The 22,213-nt window shown below is 39.1% G+C and overlaps 2 long non-coding RNA genes and 1 pseudogene across 7 annotated transcripts in view; 2 read left to right on the forward strand and 1 right to left on the reverse strand.

Annotated features, from left to right (window-relative positions):
* LOC105379566 (endogenous retrovirus group K member 18 Pol protein) overlaps positions 1-22,213 on the reverse strand; it is a 61,897-nt gene continuing 39,684 nt past the window's right edge. Inside the window, exon 5 of the long non-coding RNA XR_001756184.2 lies at positions 1-1,767. This is a non-coding gene — a long non-coding RNA (endogenous retrovirus group K member 18 Pol protein). The remainder of the gene's footprint in view (positions 1,768-22,213) is intronic.
* LOC107987401 (uncharacterized) overlaps positions 1,765-22,213 on the forward strand; it is a 27,734-nt gene continuing 7,285 nt past the window's right edge. The window contains exons 1-4 of one of the 6 annotated variants that reach the window (XR_001756176.3): positions 1,765-5,347; positions 13,197-13,417; positions 18,038-18,952; positions 20,583-21,303. This is a non-coding gene — a long non-coding RNA (uncharacterized LOC107987401). Of the gene's footprint in view, positions 5,348-11,029; positions 11,860-13,196; positions 21,324-22,213 lie in introns of those variants that run through there. The other 5 variants (XR_001756178.2, XR_007068559.1, XR_007068562.1 and 2 more) reach the window with 5 other exon arrangements.
* Positions 21,661-22,213, forward strand: part of SNX18P17 (sorting nexin 18 pseudogene 17) — a 950-nt pseudogene continuing 397 nt past the window's right edge.

Consider the following 22,213-nt stretch of genomic DNA (forward strand, 5'->3'; position numbering starts at 1 on the left):
AAAAAGTTGAGAATTATACATCATTCCTCATAGAAAACTGACTTTTGTCCTGTTAAAACAGTATTTTTAAGTAATTTTTGTATTGCTCTGATGAGGCAGGCCAGATTAAATCAGAGAAGAATGTTTCATGGAATGTTCCAGAAAATTGTCTTATTTCTTCACTTTTGTGAGTGGACACAGAATCTGTGTCTATTTATTTCACAGATTCTAGGTTAACTTGTACAGAAAGGCCATTATACTATTCTTTTAAAAGTGCATGTTTTAGGTTAATTTACAAACTATTTGAAAAGTTAGGCATTTTCTTTATCTTTTATTTAAAATATACTATAAAACTGTGGAAATATTTAAATTTGAGATAACATGTACATCAAAAATTGAGAGTTGAGAAAATTATCTTGATCCTGCCTTTGGATTTTAAAGACAGTTTCACTGAGATATCATTCACATTTGAGAGAGTTCAACCATTTAAAATGTACAACTGAGTATCTATTAGTATATTCACAGCATTTTCATCACCTGAAAAGCAACCCCACATCTCCTAGGCATGACTGCAGCCTTCCTCCATGTCCCTCCACCTACCTCTGTTGTAGGCAACCACCATCTATCTACTTTTGTCTCCATATGTTTACCTGTTCTGCTTATTTCATATACATAGAATTATACAATACGTAGTCCTTTGTGACTGGCTTTTTCACTTAGCATAATGTTTTCAGAATTCACTTAGCATAATGTTTTAGCACACATTGGTAGTTTATTTCTTCTTATAGTTAAGTGATATTCTATTCCATGTCTATACTGGTTTTCCATTCATTCATCGGTTGATGGACCTTTAGGTTAGTTTCCACTGTTTAGCTCTTATGAAAAATGCTGCTGCGAACATTCACTTACAGGTTATTATGTGGACAAGCGTTTTTATTTCTCTGCCATTGGACTTTATCCTCAGAGTTAATTGGGCAGATTTCAGCACTTGTCTTGCTCATGCTATCCTTTCTGCCTTCTCAGTTTCTATTCATCTAGCCTCATTCACTCAGACGTGGCAGACAATTTATTGTTTTCATGAAGCTTTCTCTGAGTGTTCTCTCATTGACCTCATGTGTTAGCAATCGTTGTCTAGTCTGTGCAGAAAAACTTAGTTCTTAATTTTACATGGCTTTTATTTTTTTATGGAAGATAGTTTTCTCTCATTATAAATTTGCTTAATGGGGGAATAATATATAATATGTATGCCACCTATCCTTGCATACATTGAAAATATTTTAGCTTAGAAGTTTGTAGCATACAATTCAATACTTTATACCATACCAATTATTTCTTCTTTGAGACCTTGACACAGTAAGGTTTGTATTCTAAGTGTGTTTTTAGCAATTAAATATCAAAGCCAACCCAATTAGTCTAATACAGGAGACTCGTTCAATCACATGTTTATGTTTTTCTCTCTATGAAAAATAATGTAAATTGGCCTTTTTTCACTATGCAGCAGAACTGTGTTTCTGGACTGCTACCAGTTTGTCAGCTGAACAGTTCTGGGTGCAGCTTGTCCGATGACGGATAGCACAGCCCCTCAATCTGTGTGCTCAGCAGAGTGCTTGTGAAGGCAGCACCACAGCAACAGTTGCTCAGAGGGAACGGATTCAGGAGCCTTGATTTAGCAATAGAGTCCAGGGTTTTCAGCTCAGTGTCTTTAGCCTGTCTCTGCTGGTCATGTCAGTTATGTACTATTCAATCCAGGAGGTGCTGTTTACATTGTAGTACATACATAGTCATTGCCTAATGAGTCATACAGAGAGAAAAGTAAGTTATAAATTATGTCCCCCATTTGCTGCAACTCTCAGTGGTAAGAATGATTCAGTGCAGCTATAGGAGAGTACTTCCATTGGCATGCCACCTGCCTAAAATACACAATTTTGTTAAGATATACAATAAAATTATTATGCTAATAGCAAATATTTTATGTAGCTCACTATGTTCCACGTAGTCTTCTAAGTGTTTCATGTTAGTCCCCAGTTAAACACCTGGTTTTGGAAGGCTGAAGCAGGAGGATCGTTTGAGCCCATGAGTTTGAGACCAGCCAGAGCAATATAGTGAGACCCTGTCTCTAAAAAAAAAAAAAAAAAAAAAAAAAAAAAAAAAAAAAAATTTAAACACTTATCTGAGGCATGGTGGTGCACGCCTGTAGTCCCAGCTACATTGGGAGGCTGTGGTAGGAGGGTCGTTTGAGCTTGGAATATTGAGGCTGTAGTGAACAGTGATCAAGCCGCTGCACTCCAGGCTGGGTAACAGAGGGAGACTCTGTCTCATAAATAAAACGTTTTGTATAGATTCCCTTAGAAGTGAGTTAGACATCAGTCATAGAATTATTAGCCACTTTGATGTCTACCTTGGGAGTAAAACATATAATAAGGGGCAGCATTAAACCATCTCAATCACTAGCCTCCAACTTCTCAAGAAGGTTCTTATTTCATGAATTTCTACACAAAAGACTAACTGGGTTAAGACATTTGGTGGACACCATTTTGAGATGAAGAATCTTGAGTGAGAAGAAGGGAGATCTCTACTTACTGAAGCTTCCCAATGACATAGTTAAATGTCCCCCAAAAGAAACTTTAGAACAAGACTTTCATCATGCCATATCTCTATGGAAAAGGAATTTCTTTAAAAGAAAACAAAGGCAAACAATTGATAATATGATTCTCATGGGAAAGTTTTCATCATAAAAGAAAAAGAGGGCTGGGTGCCGTGGCTCACGTCTGTAATCCCAACACTTTGGGAGGCTGAGGTGCGTGGATTACCTGAGGTCAGCAGTTCAAAAACAGCCTGGACAACATAGTGAAAACCTGTCTCTACTGAAAATACAAAAATTAGCCAGGTGTGGTGGTGTGCACCTGTAGTCGCAGCTACTTGGGATGCCGAGGCAGGAGAATCACTTGAACCCAGGAGGTGGAAGTTGCAGTAAGCCGAGATGGTGCCACTGCACTCCAGCCTGGATGACACAGTGTGACTCCATCAAAAAAAGAAAAAAAGAAAAACAAAAAAAGGGACAAAGTATACTGGTCCAAAAAAGAAGAAAGCAAGAAAAAAAGGACAAAGTATACTGGTTAGTATCATAACAGTGAGATAGTCCCCCTTTGAGATTAGAAAATAACAGTATACTCAAAGTAACATTAATGAGAACCAACATAAAATAGACAACATTCACTATCTACAAAAGTAATCTGCACCAATTAGCAATGTATGAGCATGTGGTTGAGAATATTTTCTATAATATGGGTACTAGAAGGAAGAGACCTCAAGAAAATGGTCAGAGCTGGAAATGTAGATTAGGGAATCTAGGTCAAAGTTTTGAGATTTTAGGAGTCCTGAGAGAATTTAAAAAGAGAAATAGCCACCAGGCATGGTGGCCACACCTGTAATCCCAGCACTTTGGGAGGCCAAGGCAGGAAGATCATGAGGTCAGGAGTTCAAGACCAGTCTGGCCAACAAGTTTCTTATATAGGTAAACGTGTTCCATGATGGTTTGCTGCACCTATCAATCCATCACCTAGATATTAAGCCCTGTGGGCATTAGTTATTGATCTTGATGCTCTCCCTCCTGACCCCAACAGGCCCCAGTGTTTGTTGTTCCCCTCCCTGAGTCCATGTGTTCTTATCGTTCAGCTCCCACTTATAAGTGAGAAGATGCAGTGTTTGGTTTTTTCTTCCTGCATTAGTTTGCTGAAGATATCAGCTTCGGGTTCATCCATATCCCTGCAAAGAGCACGATCTCATTCATTTTTATGGCTCCATAGTATTCCATGGTGTATATATACCACATTTTCTTTATCCCATTATCACTGATAATGTCCATCTGGGTTGATTCCATGTCTTTACTATTGTGAATAGTGCTGCAGTGAACATGCAAATGCATGTATCTTTATAATAGAATAATTTATATTCCAACGTATGGTAATTTTAAATCAGTTTTGGTATTAAAAATCATGCATTTTGGAAAATATTGATAATGGAAAAATCCAAATTCTGCCAAAATATGTTGAGAAAATAGAGAGTAAATATATCTTTTCAAACTTTAAATGCCTCAGGCTTTTAGTTAATCTTCCCCAGATCTGGGAAGACCTAGAAGGGGAGATTGGGCTACCTTAATGAGGGCCATTTCAATCTCTTGGCCCTGCAGCAGCCATTTCAAAATACGTCAAACAATATATTTGGGGGTAAATTATTTTGATTTCCTTCAGCTTCTTCTCTCTGTGATGTTGCACCAGAATCAGATTAGAAAGGAAGCCACATTATAAGTGTTAATAAAACCCATCTGATGAGATTTGATAGTTTGAAGGGTGTGTTTCCCAGACCCTTTAGATAGAAATTAGGGCCAAGGAAAACAAGGTCTTATTCCTCTATATAAATCTGTCAGTGCTTTAAGCAGTGAAAGAAAGATTTTTCATTGAATTTTACAGACTTGATACTAATGAAAAGGATAGCTTGTAAAATATAAATCTATTTTTCTATAAAAAGGACATGTTGTTGATTCTCTTAGACCTTGAACCCTGGCCAGTGATTTGAAACCAAGCAGTACCTATCTGCAGATCTCTAGTACCAAATTAATTTGGGGTGGGGGGTAACAGGTTTATTGAGAAATAATGAACACGCCATGCAATTCACTCATTTAAAGTATAGAATTCATTAACTTTAGTATTTTCAGAGAGTTATGCCGTCATCATTACAATTAATTTTAGAACATTTTCATCACCCTAAAAACAAACCCCACATCATTTAGCCATCTTCACTAGTTTTCCCTTCCTCCCTCAGCCCTAGGGAACCACCCACCTTCTTTGTATAGATTTGCCTATAAGCCTCTGAAATAAAAAGCAAGTGGTCTGCTGGGACTGGCTTATTTCACTTAGCATAATTTTTCATGCTGCATCTGTGCTGTAGCAGGTATTGATGCCGGGTTTTTGCTCCTTAGTTCAGCTACATCTGTGTTCTTCTCTCATGACCAGGAAAAATTAAGCCTGCAGACACATTGAGGAGGGCAGAATTTATTATGTGAAAGCACAGCTCTCAGCAAAGAGAGGGGTCCTGCAAAGAGGTTTCCACCTCACAATTGAATACCAGGAGCACATGAGCTGAAGCGGCCAGGCTCCTCCTCTGCATAAGGTGTGAATTCCTGGTGACTCCACCCCATCCCCCCACTGCATGTGGGCCTCCAGTCTGCTGTGGGCATGTCCAGGCAAGACAAGTCCAGGTTCCCTTATCTGCACATAACATCAGGTGTAAACACTTGTGGGGCTCGTTGGAGATTCTCCGGGGACCCTTCCGTATCTGCCTAGGCATTTTGCTGTCTCCTCCTAATACGGTATCTGTACTTAATTTCTTCTTATTGCTGAGTAATATTCCATTGTATGGATACATCAAACATTTTATTTATCCATTCGCCAGGTGATGGACCTTTGGGTTCTCTCCCAGCCAAAGGTGACAGACGTTCTGGTTCTTTCCACCTTTTGACTACTATTAATAATGCTGTTGTAAACATTTATGTATGAGTTTTTGTGCTTGCGTATGTTTTTATTTTTCTGGAGTATATACTTATGACTGGAATTTGTGTGTCATATGGTAACTTCATGCTTAACCCTTTAAAGAGCTGCCAGTTTGTTTTCCAAAGTGGCTGCATCACTTTACATTCCCAGCAGCATTAGATAAGGGTTTTAATTTCTTTACATTTTTCCTGACACTCTTTTTTCTTGAACAAAGATTTTATCCTGTGGTGTGAAGTGATACCACATGTGGTTTTGATTTACATTTTCCTAATGACTAATTACATTAAGCATCTATTAATGTGCTTTTCCATCTTTATATCTTCTTTGCAGATATATCTATTCAAAATCTTTGCCCATTTTTTAAAATTGGCTTATCTTGTTATTTATTAATTGCAAGAGTTATTTATATTTCCTATATATGTAAGTCCCTTATCAGATACACACTTTTCAAATACTTTCTTCTACTTGGCGTCTTACCTTTTCATTTCTTCATGCTGTCTTCTGAGGCACAGCAGTTTTCAATTTTGAAGTCCATTGAATCCATTTTTCCTTTGGAGTCATAGCTAAGAAAACACTGGCAAATGCAGTCACAAAGATTTATGCCAGTGTTTTCTTCTGAGGGTTTTATAGTTTTAGCTTTTACAGTTAACTATTTTATTTTGAGTTAATTATTAAATAAGATATTTGGTCGAAATTTATTTATTTTTTGCTTATGGATACCCAGTTGTCCCAGCACCATTTGTTGAAAAGACTATTCTTTTCCCATTTTGTTCTTTTGTGAAGCTTGTATAAAATCAATTGACTGTAAAAGTGCAGGCTTATTTTTAGATTGTCAATTCTTAGCTTGTTTATGTCTATTCTTATGTCAAGGCCCAATCGAATTGAATGAGAAGTTTTTTTCAATCATGTTGCATATTACCAGTTGTCTTATGTCATAATAAAAATTAAATTTAGTGGAATGTCTGTAACTTCACCTTTTGTGTCACAAAGGAGTCTCTGGCCAGCTTATACCTTACTTCCTCTAAGACATGATCAGACGCCAGGCTTACAAGACACACTTAATTTCTTTTTTTCTCCATTCAAGCCTTTAGTCTCTTTTCCATTGCCTCCCACTATAGTTATATTTTCAGTAAGTTTTGGTTACAGGATCTGCTGACATAGTCTAATATTCAGTGCATTATGTTTTACTAACTCATTATAATTCATAGAACCTTCCATAGATGTCTACCATCTAGGAAGGAGAAGTTTAAGTCTGAGCCGCCAGCTTTCCTCAGTGGAAATCAAGTGAAGTCATCATCTTGCAGTTTACAGACCCTCTTTTCTCCTGGTAGCTGGTTCTCTTGGGTAGCACTGTGGCTAATCCTTTTATTAGTGCAGATCTTGCATTCTCAGAAACCACAGTTCCCTATATTGACCTCCTTTTACTGAAACAGAGATGCACAGCTCTGCTTTCTAGCTCAGTAGAGGATTCTTGGAATAAAACGTTTAACTCATTCCAAGAAAAAGTCTTAGGAGTGCAGCACTTCAAAGTCAGGTAAGGTTCAGGCAATTTATCAGAGACACATAGTAGATTAGTATTTTGACTTTCAAAATTTCAGAGCCAAGTTGTGTGCTATAGAGAAGCATTGTGGCATAACATAGAGATGGGATGGTCTTAACTTCTCCATACAAACAAGCTTGGAGTAAGGTAAAGGAGAAATTGCATTTGTGTCTTAACACTCAAAACACACTATGCTTATTTTACTTCTGTGAAGAATAAAAATCATTCCATAATATTCTCCTTATTTCCTCATTTAGAAAAGAAAATGAAAATTGAATACTAGGTTGATTAATAAATACTCAAAACTTCTTCTTTTAGAATTTTAGTTAATTGAAATCAGGTAAATGTCTGATTTTGCCTATGTCACCCAGTATTTCTAGTTGTTTTTCAAATCATACATCTTCTTGCTTCCCAGTCTTACTTCCTAACTTGAGGGGAAATTGTAAGAAGACACCCTTGCCTTGTTATCAGCGTTCATTATTGAAGTTGTTTTAGGAAAATTCCTCCTCAGCAGCTTATGTCTCTCTCCTGGTTATCTACTGCTTCTCAATAATGTTTGACATCAATAAATAAATATCAACCTTTATTAGATCCTGCTTTAAAGGAGACTCTTTTCTGCTGCATAAGTTATGTTTCCTGTTGTCTCTTTTTAAAACTTATTTTCCTAACAATTACCCAGAGTCTTGTGGCTTGAAAGAAAAACATTTATTTTATTCATGAACCTGTGGTTTGGGAAAAACTTGGCCAGGACAGCTTGCTCTGCTCCCTTCAGCTTCCCTAGGAACAGCTGATCAGTTGCGGAAATGGAATCCTCTGAAGCTTTGGTCCCCCACTTGTTTGATGGTTGATGCTGGCCATCGGCTGTAAACTTGGTTGGGACAGGCAGCATGAACACTGACACAGGCACTTTCAGGCTCTCTTTGTGGCCTGATGGCTCTCACAATAGGGGCTGGGTTCCAAGGGAAAACAGTCTGAGATAGGGAAGCCACATGGTATCCCTTTCACTACATTCTACTCATTAGAAGGAAGTCAGTAAGGCTGGCCCATATTCTGTTTTTTAAATGGGATGAATGTAGCTTCTCTTTTGTTTTAATTGACACATATATACATAATTATGGGCTATAGAGTGATATTTTTATACACGTATATAGTGTGTAATGATCAAGCTAACTAGCACATTTACTACTTCAACCATTTTTCATTTCTTTGAATTGTGAACATTCAAAATTTTCTGGCTTTTTAAAAATATACAATAAGTCATAGTTAACCATATTCACCCTACAATGCCACAGAACACCAGAACTCACTCCTCTTATCTAACTGTAATTCTGTATCCATTAACCAGCCTCCCCTCCCCTACTTCTGTGAGCTTTTTTTTTGTTAAGAGACAGGGTCTTGCTAGTGTAGTCTGGGCTCTGGGCAACTGTAGTCACCCAGACTGGAGACAGTGGTTTGATCATAGTTCACTGCAGCTTCAAACTCTTGGGCCCATCAGATCCTCACACCTCAGCCTCCTGAGCAGCTGGCATTATGGGCATGCACCATTGCACATGTCTGATTTTTGACTTTGTAGAGATATCTCCCTATGTTGCCCAGGGAGCTCTGGAACTTTTGGCCTCAAATGATTCTCTTGCCTTGGTCTTACAAAGAGCTAGGAAATTACAGGCATCAGCCATATTGCCCAGCCTTTAATTTTCCTTTAGCTCCCACACATGAGTAAGAATGTGCAGTATTTATCTTTCTGTGTCTGCACTTAACATCCATCAGACTGATCCACATGGCCACGAATAACAGGATTTAATTCCTTTATATGGTGAATAGTATTCCACTGTGTTTGTGTGCCACAGTTTTTCATCCATTCATTTGGTGATGGACATGTATGTTGATTCCATACACAAGCTGTTGTGGATAGTGCTACAGTAAACATATGAGGACAGATATCCTTTTGATCTATTGTTTTCTTTTCTATTGCCTGAATACCCGGTAGTGGGGTTGCTGGATCCCTCGCCAGTCCCATTATTAGTTTTTTTGAGAAAACCTCCTGTTGTTCTCTATAGTGGCTGCACTAATTTACCTTCCCACCAACAGCATGTAAGAGTTTACTGTTCTCTGGAGCCTCACCAGCATTTGTTATTTTTTTTGTCTTTTCAATGACAGCAATTTATTCAAATTGAAGCAAGATTATATCACATTGTAGATTTGATTTGTATTTCCCTGAGGATTAGTGATACTGAGCATTTTAAAATTTATTTATTGGCTATTTGTATTTCTTTTTCTAAAAAAAAGTATAGTTAGATATTTTGCCCAGTTTTAAACTCAGATTTTTTTACTGTGATGTTGTTTGAGTTTTTTTGTATATTTTGTATATTAGTCCCTCATTAGGTGAATAGCTTGACAATATTTTCTCCTATTCTACAGGTTTTCTCTTCACTCAGTTGTTTGCTGGACAGAAGCTCTTTAGCTTAATGTAGTGTCTTTTGTCTATGATTTGTTGTTTGCCTATGCTTCTGATGTCTTACCCATAAAAATCTTTGTGCAGACTAATGTCCTCAAGCCTTTTCCTTATATTTACTTAGAGTAGTTTGATACATTTGGGCCTTACATTTCAGTCTTCAATCGATTCTGAGTTTATGTTGTTATATGGTGTTACATAGGAAGCTAATATCATTCTTCTCCATATGGATATTTAGTTTTCCCAGTGTCATTCATTTGAAGAGGCTGTCCTTTCCCCAGCGTACGTTCTTGGCATGTTCGTCCAAAATCAGTTGGCTGGAAATATGTGAATTTATTTCTGGGTGCCATATTCTATGGTCTTTACCCCAAGAATCATTACTTCTTAAAATGCAATTCAAATTAGCATGAAACATTTGCAGTTTAAGGAAAGGCTTATAGCATCAGAATCCTTAATCATAGATTTCATTATTTTGTGTTGTTTTTTGAGATAGGGTCTTTGTCTGTCATCCAGGCAGAAGTGCAGCGATAATAATTCACTGCAGCCCTGAACTCTGGGTACAAGCCATCCTTTTGCCTCAGTATCCCAACTAGCTGGGTCTACAGGCATGAGCCACCATGCCCGGGTAATTAAAAAAATTTTTTTTTTGTAGAGATGGGGGTCTCACTATGTTGCTCTGGCTGATCTCAAATTCCTGGCCTCAAGTGATCTTTCTGCCACAGCTTTTTAAAGTGCTAGGATTACAGGCATGAGCCACCATGCCTAATATAGAGTGTAATATCACTTTCAAAGTCTTATTCCTAGACCCATTTATTGACTTTGGCCTAAATAACTCAATATGATATCTCTGAAACTTTTTTTGACATACTGTGGGGAATGATAATGAAGGAAGGGGGTTAGACACTTTTTACTAGGAGATAACTTTGTGCCATTTAAGGAGGAACAAAAATGAATTATCAGAAAAATAAAAGTAAAATGAAGTACAAAAATTCTGTGGCAAAGATGATGATAGTAAAGAATATATTTTTATGACTCATGGTAGCTTTAACTTTGTTCTTAAAATTCTGAGTAATTTAAGGGTTCACATTTGAAGAATCTGCTGCATTACAGATAACATTTTATTGCAAGTAAATGCATTTCAAAATTTGCTATTGGTTTTGTATTAGATTATTCTCAGCCTACTTCATTATCAAGCTATACTATTTTATTCATGCAGTTTGATGATCTTATGGCGGAGAAGGAAGCTGTATCTTCAAAATGTGTCAATTTGGCTAAAGAGAATCAAGTTTTTCAACAGGAGTTATTATCTATGAAAAAAGTACAACAGGAATGTGAAAAACTTGAGGAGGATAAAAAGATGTTGGAAGAAGAAATATTAAATCTTAAGACACATATGGAAAACAGTATGGTAGAACTTAGTAAACTACAAGAATATAAATCAGAGCTAGATGAAAGGGCAATGCAGGCAGTAGAAAAATTAGAAGAAATCCATTTACAGGTGAGTTGTTTAAATCAGGTAAGTTTACTTGTAATGTGCTTTCATTTATTTCACTGCAAATTATATTTTGGAGATATATATATATATATATATATAGAGAGAGAGAGAGAGAGAGAGAGAGAGAGAGATTACCTCTCTTGTAGCAATCTGCTTTGTAGAGTTCTAGAAAAAAATGGTATCTGTTTTTTCTTTTAAATATTTAAATTTCCATTATTATTATAACAAAATCAATCTTTCAGAGTAATGATTCTCATTATGGAGTAATTTGATGATTAAGACCAGTTGGCATAGGAAAAAATTGTGATTTAGAAATTATGTGATAATTATGAATTGGTCTTAAGCTACAGTGTTCATTGATCACTTTTTAAAACTATGAATGGATTCTATTACTTTTTATATGACCAGATTACATTAATACTAGCATAATTATGATTTCAAATTTTTACAAATCAGACTTAATTCTGAATTCAGTTATTAGTTTTGATATTGCTGAAATATTTTAAACTTCATCCTCTTTTTTAACATATTCAAAAATACTCTTTGAATCGCTGACTCAAAATGAAAGGCAACAAACATAATAATTAGGTTATAATTGTTTTAAAAGTGTATTCTTTTCCTCTGTTTTAGGAACAAGCACAATATAAAAAACAATTAGAGCAGTTAAACAAGGATATAATACAGCTTCACTAAATAAGAAGGAACTCACACTTAAAGATGTGGAATGTAAATTCTACAAAATGAAAACTGCTTATGAAGAGGTTACAACTGAGTTAGAAGAATATAAGGAAGCCTTTACAGCAGCATTGAAAGCTAACAGTTCCATGTCAAAAAAATTAACTAAGTAAGTCAAAACATACACTCATAGAAAATGAATTAAGCTCATTAATTTGTTTCAAAAGCATAATTTTTAGTGAGATGGCTTCAGATTAGAAGGAAGTGAATGCTAATTTGACAATGTAATTTTGAAAAATAATGTTAGTAAATAATTTTACCTTTAAAATGTTAGTCAAAGATAGTTTTTGTCTCTCCTCTCATTTTTTTTTTTTTTGCTTTTGTATGGCTTTTTTTCCTGAAAAGTCTCATGTAATTAACCTGATCTGTTAGTTTTTTTCACTAAGTATTTTTGAAGCTTTATAATCAATGAAGTGACCTTGTTATAAAATTACTTGTCAGAATTTCCCTAAATAGAAATATTAATGTGTTTAATTTACTTTTCAGTGGATCACAACCTAAATGCAAAGTGGTACTTCTACTCTGGGCACAATTGTTTTTGATTGTGATCTTTAGTATTATCACCAGAGGGTGCCTCAAGAAAGACTATTTGTGTAACATATTCAAGATGTTACAGAAAGGCACCCTTGTGAAATAGGGAATAATTATCACAGGAATTTAAAGAAGTGTAATTCACAAAGCGGTTAAAAAATAACACCTTGTTCAGCCTGAAGCGGTGTGTGGAAGGCAGAAAGAACATGCCCCACCTCCAGGGCCTTGGTCACAGTGTTGGGGACTAATTGCCTTCAGAGATGCTTTAATTCTTTTTGATCACCAACCAGACAATCTAGTTCTCCCCTAGGAGTTGTTGCTCTGAATTATTCCTCAGTGCCAAATGTTTAATTGGTCCTAGATAATGGGTGAAATGTACAAGAGTGAAATCTAAAACTGGTTTACTAAACACAAGTGTTCCTAGATTTTTTTTCGTTCATTTTAGTTTTCTTAACGTACATTAAGGAGTACAACATGATGTTTTGATATAATTATTTCTAGTGAAGTGGTTCTTATAATCAAGCAAATCAACATATTCATTTTCCCACATTATTACCCTTTAAATACAAGTATTTCTAATGGAATCTTCAGAATCTTCCAAGTACAGCCATTTTAGAAGGCAGGAAGTTTTACCTGTTGAGCCATACATCACTGATAGCCATTTCTCTTCCCTGTCTACTTTGTTTGAACTGCTAGTTCAGTAGAAATCACCTTAGAAACAATGGTGCTTCTTTAGAATGATTTTAAAATTATAATTCCTTACAACAGGTATGCTCTTACACATCTTCTGTGTGAAAACACTATTTAGTGGGTAATGTGGTTTACTCTCAGGGTAAGTTTTTAAAAACTGCAAGTCATTAAGAATCATTTAAGGAAAAATGAAATATTAAGCATTTGTCTTTGCTACCTTTACAGATCGAATAAGAAAATAGCAATGATCAGTATCAGCTCTTTATGGAGAAAGAGCAGGTGAAATATTTTCTCAGCACTCTTCCTACAAGGCGAGGTCGAGAGTCACCTTGTGTTGAAAATCTTACTAGTATAGGACTCAACAGAAAATATATTCCCCAAATGCCCGTAAGAATTCCTACTTCAAACCTCAGACTTCAAATAACTGCCAGAACTACTTGACTGAGGTTAGTTATATGACCGTTTCTCTTTAGGGTTTCATTTCTCTAGCGTAATTCTTGTTTATAATTTGGTGAAATACTGAGTTGTTCTGTTGACTTTTGCATGTGAAGTAAAGATCATAATTAGCTGTGTTAACACAGAAAGGAAATGGGAACTTTACATTTTTTAATTCCCTGGAGCTCTCATTTTCAAGAGATATCCATTTGCTAACTTTATTCAAGAAATGTGACTAAACTGACATGTTTGAAATGTCTTTAAAACCTGCATTTAAGTTAGGTTTTAGAAATTGCATGTTATTGCCTGATAAGTGATGATATACTTTGAGATGGTCTGGCTTACTCTCTAATTGATTATAGTTTAGCTGTGGTTCATACCACATTTTTTTTTCTTTTTTTTTGAGGCAGTGTCTCACTCTGTCACCCAGGCTGGAGTGTCTTGGTGCCATCTCCACTCACTGCAACCTCCACCTCCCGGGTTCAAGTGATTCTCCTGCCTCAGCCTCCTGAGTAGCTGAGACTACAAGCACCCACCATTACACCCAGCTAATGTTTGCATTTTTAGTAGAGACAGGGTTTCACCATATTGACCAGGCTCTTCTTGAACTCCTGACCTTGTGATCTGCCTGCCTGAGCCTCTCAAAGTGCTGGGATTACAGGCATGAGCCACCGCACCCGGCCCATGCCACTTTTAAAGTTTCTTTGCACCAGCCAGGTGTGGTGGCTCATGCCTGTAATCCCAGCACTTTGGGAGGCTGAGGCAGGTGTATCACGAGGTCAGGAGTTCAAGACCAGCCTGGCCAAGATGGTGAAACCCCAACTCTACTAAAAGTACAAAAAAAAATATTAGCCTGGTGTGGTGGTGGGCACCTGTAATCCCAGCTACTAGGAAGGCTGAGGCAGAGAATTGCTTGAACCTGGGAGACGGAGGTTGCAGGAGCTGAGATTGCACCACTGCACTCCAGCCTGGGTGACAGGGCAAGACTCCATCTTGAAAATAAAAAAAAAATTAAAAAAGTTTATTTGCACCATCTCAATTCTTCCCACCCATAATCACAACTGAATGATTAGCATCCACTTTGCCACATATGGATGTTTATTATTTAGTAGAATCCAAAATAATTGCATTTTATGAATTAAACAAAACACTAAAATGTTCATTTCCCTTTTTATTTTAAAAGCTTTGTGCTTGGCCAGGCATGGTGGCTCACACTTGTAATCCCAAAATTTGGGGAGGCCGAGGCAGGTGAATCACCTGACGTCAGGAGTTTGAGACCAGCCTGGCCAACATGATGAAACCTGTCTCTAGTAAAAATACAAAAATTAGCAAGGCGTGTTGGCAGGCATGTGTAATCTCAGATACTCAGGAGGCTGAGGCAGGAGAATCACTTGAACCCAGGAGACAGAGGTTGCAGTAAGCCAAGATCATACCACTGCACTATAGCCTTGGTGATGGAGACTCTGTCTCAAAACAAAACAAAAAAAAGGTTTGTGCTTTCTTTACATAAGAGTACATCTTCTGACTATAAAAATCCTGGAAAAAACCTAGGAAATACTCTTCTGGATATCATATTTGTCAGTTAATTTATGGCTAAGTCCTCAAAAGCAATTGCAAGAATAACAAAAATTGACAAGTGTGATCTAATTTAGCTAAATAGCTTCTGCACAGCATGAGAAACTATCACGAGATTAAACAGAAAGCCTAAAAGAATGGAAGAAAATATTCACAAAGTATGGATATAGCAAACGCCTATTATCCAGAATCCATAAGAGACCTAAACAAATCAACAAGCAAAAAATAAATAAGACCATTATAAATGGGCAAAGGACATGAACAGACAGTTCTCAAAATAACACACGTAAGTGGCCAACAAACATTAAAAAATGCTTACCATTGCTAATCATCAGAAAAATGCCACACAAAACATCAATGAGATACCATTTCACACCAGTCACAATGACTTTTGTTAAAAACAAATAATAAATAAAAACTTAAAAAAGGATGTTGGGGAGGCTGTGGAGAAAAGGGAACACAAACCGTTTGTGGCAATGTAAATTAATTCAGCTACTATGGAGAGCAGTTTGGAAATTAAGAACTAAGAATGACTGTTGGATGCAGCAACCCCATTACTATACTAGGGGTATACCGAAAGGACAATAAATCATTGTAACAAAAAGATGTATACACATGTATGTTCATTGCAGCACTATTCACAATAGCAAAGACGTGGAGTCAATCCAGGTACATCCAAGGTAGATTGAAAATCCAAGGTAGATTGGAAAATTCCATATATACCATGGAATACTATGCAGCCATGAAAAGAACAAAATCACATCATTTGCAGCAACATGAATACAGCTGGAATCCACTCTCCTAAGCAAACCAACGCAGAAACAGAAACCAAATATCTCATGTTTTCACTCATGTGGGAGCTACATATTGGGTGCACATTGTCATAAAGGTGGGAATAATAGACACTGGGAAATAAGAATGGGGAGGGACAGAGTGGGCCAGGGTTGAAAAACTACTTCTTGGGTCCTATGCTCACAACCTGTGTGATGGGTTTAATTGTACTGCAAACCTCGGTATCCCTCAATATGCCTTTGGAAGAAACTTACAGAGGTACCACGTTAATTTAGAATACAAACTAGAAAAAAAAAAGAAAAGTTTACTATAAGTAGAGAACAGAAATTTCTTTTTAAGATAAAATTTATTGAAGTAAAAAATGGATTAAACTTTTATAAAGGGCAGAGTTTTCTAAGAATTTCAAAGCAATGCATTCATTGCAAAAGATGGCTTTAATTACTTAATCTTTTTTTTTTTTTTTTTGTGAGACAGGGTCTCACTCTCTCACCAGGCTGGAGTGCAGTGGTGCAGTCTTGGCTCACTGCAACCTCCACCTCCTGGCTTCAAGCAATTCTCCTGCCTTAGTATCCCAAGTAGCTGGGACTACAGGTGCACATCACCACGCCCAGCTAATTTTTGTATTTTTAGTAGAGATGGGGTTTCCCCATGTTGGCCAGGATGGTCACGATCTCCTGACCTTGTGATCTGCTTGCTTTGGCCTCCCCAAGTGCTGGGGTTACAGGTATCAGCCACCATGCCTGGCCATTGTTTAACCTTTGTACTAATAAAACACTACCTTTCTAAAATCATGTATATGCAATAGATCAATATTAACTGCATTTTTGTCAGATTACTCTAAACAGCATTACACATATACATCCTCTGTTATCTAAACTTAAAATAAGTAGAAATTTTATTTTATTTATGTGATTATTTTTCTATTTAAGCAAACTTCAAGTTATGTCTAGTCACTAAAAATACTAAAGGCCACATTTTGTAAGTGATACATGATTTTCATGATAATGTTTCTTGTTTAATTTAGACATTATTATTATTTTTACTTATTTTAGATGGGGCTGGACTGTGTAGAATAAATAATTAGAGAAACAAAGAGAAGTACGTTGACAAAATTTATTAATTAAATTTAGGTTTATTTTAGAAATAAAGTGTAAATAGCAAATGGCATTCCTTTTCATTCTTGGGTTAGTAGATACTACATCAATATTTTTTTCTTACACACATCTAATGAAAGATGTGAAAACAAAAACTTTCACAGAGAAGACTGTACTTATGCACCATAAATTCATCATGTTCCTAAGCTTAAACAGTTCCCAAGAAGTCTGTGCATCTCTTTTTCACTGGCTTTACAGTTTCTTAAGTTTTGCCATCCTCATGGAACTGTCAGCCAGCACACTGAAACGATTCTCAGAAAACAAAAGCATCATCAAGTTCTCAGGGTTTCGGTAGAGATTGAAGGCCAACAGACCTAAGACTCATTCAGAAATACTTAGCTGAGCAATAACCCTTCATAAGCAGTCACTTGACAGGTGACATTTTAAATCTCCTCTAATTTAATGTGTCATTGGCTTACACTTGTTCTCAGGAAAAGTTCCAAATTTTTCACCATGAAATAAAAACACCCATGTCAATGTAATTCTTGCCAAGTTACTCAGCCTTGTTTCTCACCACTTACTGCACTCTGCCCTTTGCTCTAGCACCAAACTGGATGGAGTGGAACTCTGCAGGGCTCTTCCTCACCTCAGGCTCTTTGCCTTTGCCTCTTTCCTCTATCTGGGAAGCTTTTCCTTGTCCTTCAGGTATCAACCTATGTTATCTCCTCCACCAGAAAGCCCATGATATTGACATAAAAGTGGGTAGATGTCCCTTCTCTGTGTTCCAGTAGTGCCCTGCTGTATACCTGTCACGGTATCTATGACTCTATATGGACATTGTCTGCCTGTCTGTTTTTTAGGTTATAGCTTATGACTGTTGAGAGGTGGACCATGCCATCTTCATCTTGTAATTCCAGTGCTGGTTCTAGTACCTTAGCATGTGGCTGTTGATTACATGAATGAAGACTGAAAAAGTTCTGATATTTAAACACAATTAGAATTAATGCCATGTGTAAATTATTAAATAGTAATTTTGTATTGTAAATGTACATACATATTTCTCATTCTTATTAACTCTGATAAAGTTCTCAAGTCTTTAGTTTTTAAACTCACACTTAGTTAACTGAAGTGTTTTAGGTAAAGAACAAAATTCTTTATTTTTCTTTCCAGCTGTTGCTGTATTGGACACTTGCTCCCATCTACTTTCTTCTCTAGAATCCACGGGTAAGCCACATCTAATGAAGAGAATATTTAACCATAAAGTCTTAAGGAAAAATTCTATGATGATTTAAAAGATTATAAAACTTTATTACTGGGCTATTTACACATTTTAATTGTTTCTCATAAAATATATAACATTCCAATATTTACTGAAGTAGGATATTTTTGTATCATATGTATGATTATAATTTATAGGGTATTTTAAATGATGTTTTTTGGCCTCCTTAAGTTTTAAGTGGATCTTGCAAATGAAAACCAGTATTATTGAGTTTGACATACTCAAATTGCCCAAATGTCAGCTGTTTAAACAACCAAGTCATCACTGATACTTTAGTAAAGGTTAGTAAAGGTCATCGAAGGCTTATTTGCATTTTACAGTTTTTATTACTTAGGAGAGTTAAGGAGTACCTGCCAGGTTTGTCCATGTTAATGTTACAATTTTCTTTTTGTAGTTCAACTGTATTTTGTATGGAGATACTTTGAGGCTCTGTAAATATCTGGTTACTCCTCAGAACCCACTAGATTTAGCATTTCATGGATGACTTGTGTTTGAACAATTATTACTATGATGGTTACCAGATGATTATTTTCTTATTCTCTTCTTTGTTCTACATGGAGAAATAAAACCAATAAATAAGGGAGAAGGAAAGCTCATGATTCTGATGCTCCAATTCCCCAAGATTAGGCCAGTAGTAGACATTCCAAGCTGACTTTATGTCTCTTTGATTTGTCTCCATTACTCTGTCGGCACTTTTTTACTTTCTGGCAGAAGATGTTCTAAGCTCAGCTTGTATTTTCTCTGCGCCAGCTCTGGAATGAGTCATTTTTTTTAGAAGCAGAGGTGGAGCCACTGAGGAAGCACAGGTGAGCCCTCCCCAGTGTGTACTCACTGGTCCCCAACAGAAGAACCACTGCCACATCCACTGAAGTACCAAGAAACTAGCAAAGGGCCTTCTGGCTGTCTGGGGAGAGTCCTCATGTGGTCCCTGGCTGTCTCAGAGGTTCTGGATTAGTCTTCCTGTAGCCTCTGTGTTCTGTCTTTAGATCGGGGCTCTGTGGGAAGGGCCCTGAGAGACCCAACAGCACAGCGTGCCTTATCTGCCAAATGTCCCTCCCTTCCTCACACCCTGACACTCAGGAATAGGGTAGATGGTGTGTCCAGGCAGTGTCAGGCCACCTCACTTTCTCCTTTGAGACGGGCCCAGAGGGCCTTTGGGGTGAGTGTGGAGCTGGGAACCTGGAGCCTGAGGCCAACTGTCTCTCCCTGTGTCTTGGAGGAAAGGCCACGTCCCAAAAAAAAACCCCAGGGCCTGACCTCTGGGCACACATGCAGGGAGGGAGGGTCTATGAGCTGAGGGGGACATTGTAATGAGACTTTGAACCCCGTTGCTCCGAGGCCTGGTCAGTGGACCATGGTCAGAGATGACCTGGTCATCAGGACCTGGTCATTTGGGACCTGATCAGCAGGGGCCTGGTTAGTGGCAGCCTCCTCAGTAAAGGCCTCATCAGTGGGGACCTGGTGACCTAGTCATTGGAAGCCTGGTCAGTGGGGGGACCTAGTCAGTGGTGGCTTTATTAGTGGGGCCTGATCTGTTGGAACATAAACAATGAAAAACTGGTTGGTGGGGCATACACAATATATCACGGGCCTGGTCAGTGTGGGGCCTTAGTGGCTTGGAGCCTGGTCAGTGAGGGCCTGGTCAGAGGGGGCTCAGTCAGCTGGGTACTCGTTCATGGAGAATTGTTCAGTGGGGGGTCGGTTGAGCAGCAACCTGGTAAATTGTGGTCTTGTCAGTGGGAACCCTGTCTTGTCAATGGGGACCAGGTCAGTGGAAAATTGGTCAGTGGGGTCTGGCCCATGAGGCCTATTAAGTGTGGGCCTGGTTAGGAAGACATGGTCAGTGGGGACTTGATCAGTGGGACCTGGTCAATGGAGGAGTGGTCATTAGGGGTCTCATCACTCATCACTGGGAACCTGGTCAGGGGCAGTTTGTCAGTACCTGGCCTGCTGGCCACTATGTGACCTCAGGCAGGGGGGTTGTCTGTGGAGCCTCCTTGCCTCCATCTGCAGGGAAAGTGAGTCGGGGCACCCTGGAGGGTGGCTGGAAAGAGAAGGTGAGAAGATGTGTTGAATCCAATACTGCTTGGCAGACCTAGAACTTTACAAATGACCTGTGTTCCACCTAGAGAGGGTGCCAGCCCTCTCAGCATTATGCAGTGCCCCTCCTCTGTCCGCATCCCCAGGACCACCATGGGTGGGGAGGGCAGAGATTGGGGAGCACCTATAGAGGCTCTAATGCTCTAAGGTGACAGTGATGAGGAACTGGGTGCACCCATGAGTGGAGAAGCTAGGCCTGTCCAGAGAAGCAAGACAAACACACACATACACACTCACACACACACAGGCACATATGCATACACAAATACATTGCATACACACATGTCAGTTCAGGGGATAGAGGACACTGACTCTGGGCCCTGTTGACCCAAGCAGACTCCCATGGTGGTGGGTTGTGTCACCCCACAATGTCACTGTTGCTGAGTCCCCATCGCCTCTGTGTTGTGGAGCAGTTAGAGACACACAGCAGTGTCTGTGAGTAGCTCTGCGTGAAGGACCATTTTCTAGATGAGAGGCACATCTCAACACAGCTCACTGATCAGATTCAGGTGAGTGGGACCTGCTCTTTTCTCTTCCTTCTGGCTTGGGAAAAGTCACTATCAGGTGGATGGTTTTGGTCTCTGGGCAGCTACTGAGGGTAATCCCTGAACACTCACCAGCTGCCTGTTATGTGCTGACAGTCATCTCATTCATCCTCGCAGCAATTCCATTCTGCATCTTTCCTGATCACCTCCGTGACAACACAGGACAACCCCATCAGGGCCCTGTCACCAGGCCCAGTCTAGCTCCATGATAACCAAGACACAGGCCCAGAGACAATCGTCCTACATTGTGCCTGCATCTGACACCCCTTGGTAGGTAGTGACCAGCACAACATGGAAGAAGCCAGGGCAGCATGCAGCCAGCTGCTCTGCAGCCCCAAATGGCTCCTGGGCCTTGGGAAGTCACTCATAAAGGGGAAGCTGGTCACTTTGAGGTCCCTGAAGGGAAGGGTGAACGTGCATCCCAACAGCCCTGGCAGCCAGCAGCATGCCATACATATTCTCACCCAACGTGTGTGACAGAGGTCCCCTCCTGGGGCACAAGTCCCATACCTAAAGCATTCTGTCCCAGTCGGACCTCATCCTGAGCCCTGGGAGGGGAGGGGGACCATGGGCCCCCCTGCAGCAGGCTCAGAACTGGGGTGTGTGCCGCCTTTGGGGCTCCAGTCCAAGCATCGGGGCTTCTACAGCACTGTGGGCTTCTCGGGTGCCAAGAGGCAGACCACAGGCCATCTTGAGGAGGACTCTGGTAAGAGCTTCCTTGTGTACGTGGATGATGTCCAGAATGTTGGTCTGGTGTCCCTGAGACAGCACTAACAGGTCCATGACTGGGTCCAGATCCTGCCTGGGCTGATGGGCAAAGAGCTCACTGACAGTGTGGAAGGCATCTATGGTGAAGTGGATCTATGTTCAAGTGCAGAAAGGGCCCAATCTTGTAGATGAACCACACAGCCAGCTTCTGGATGCAGGTGCAGTGCCACATTTTTTGTCACTTCCTGATGTGCCCCACCAGCACTGAAGAGATAGCCTGGAGACAGGGCAAGAGGAAGGCTGAGAAGGATGAGATGGTGAGTGCCAGATTCTTCCTGGCCCTGAGCCCACCCCCAGTGTGACACTCAACTTTTAGGAGTGGGAGAGCAAGATTGATGGCTTCAAGTGCTTCACCAAGAAGATGGACAACAGGGCACTCAGGTCAACTTCACAGCCAATGAGTGGTGGCAGGCTTTGAGAAAGAGCATCAGAAGCCTGACAGTTCTTCTTCAGCCTCAGCCAGGCCTTGGAGCTGGACCAGGCCATCCACTTCAGTATAGATGCCTTCCACTCTGTCAGTGAGCTCTTTGCCAGTCAGTCCAGGAAGGACCTGGACCCAGCCATGGACCTGTTAGTGCTGTCTCAGGGACACAAGACAAACATCCTGGACATCATTCACATACACAAGGAAGCTCTTACCAAAGTCACGGAGAA

This window comes from Homo sapiens, unplaced genomic scaffold (assembly GCF_000001405.40).
Source record: "Homo sapiens unplaced genomic scaffold, GRCh38.p14 Primary Assembly HSCHRUN_RANDOM_CTG42".
In the NCBI taxonomy this organism is placed as follows: Eukaryota; Metazoa; Chordata; class Mammalia; order Primates; family Hominidae; genus Homo; species Homo sapiens.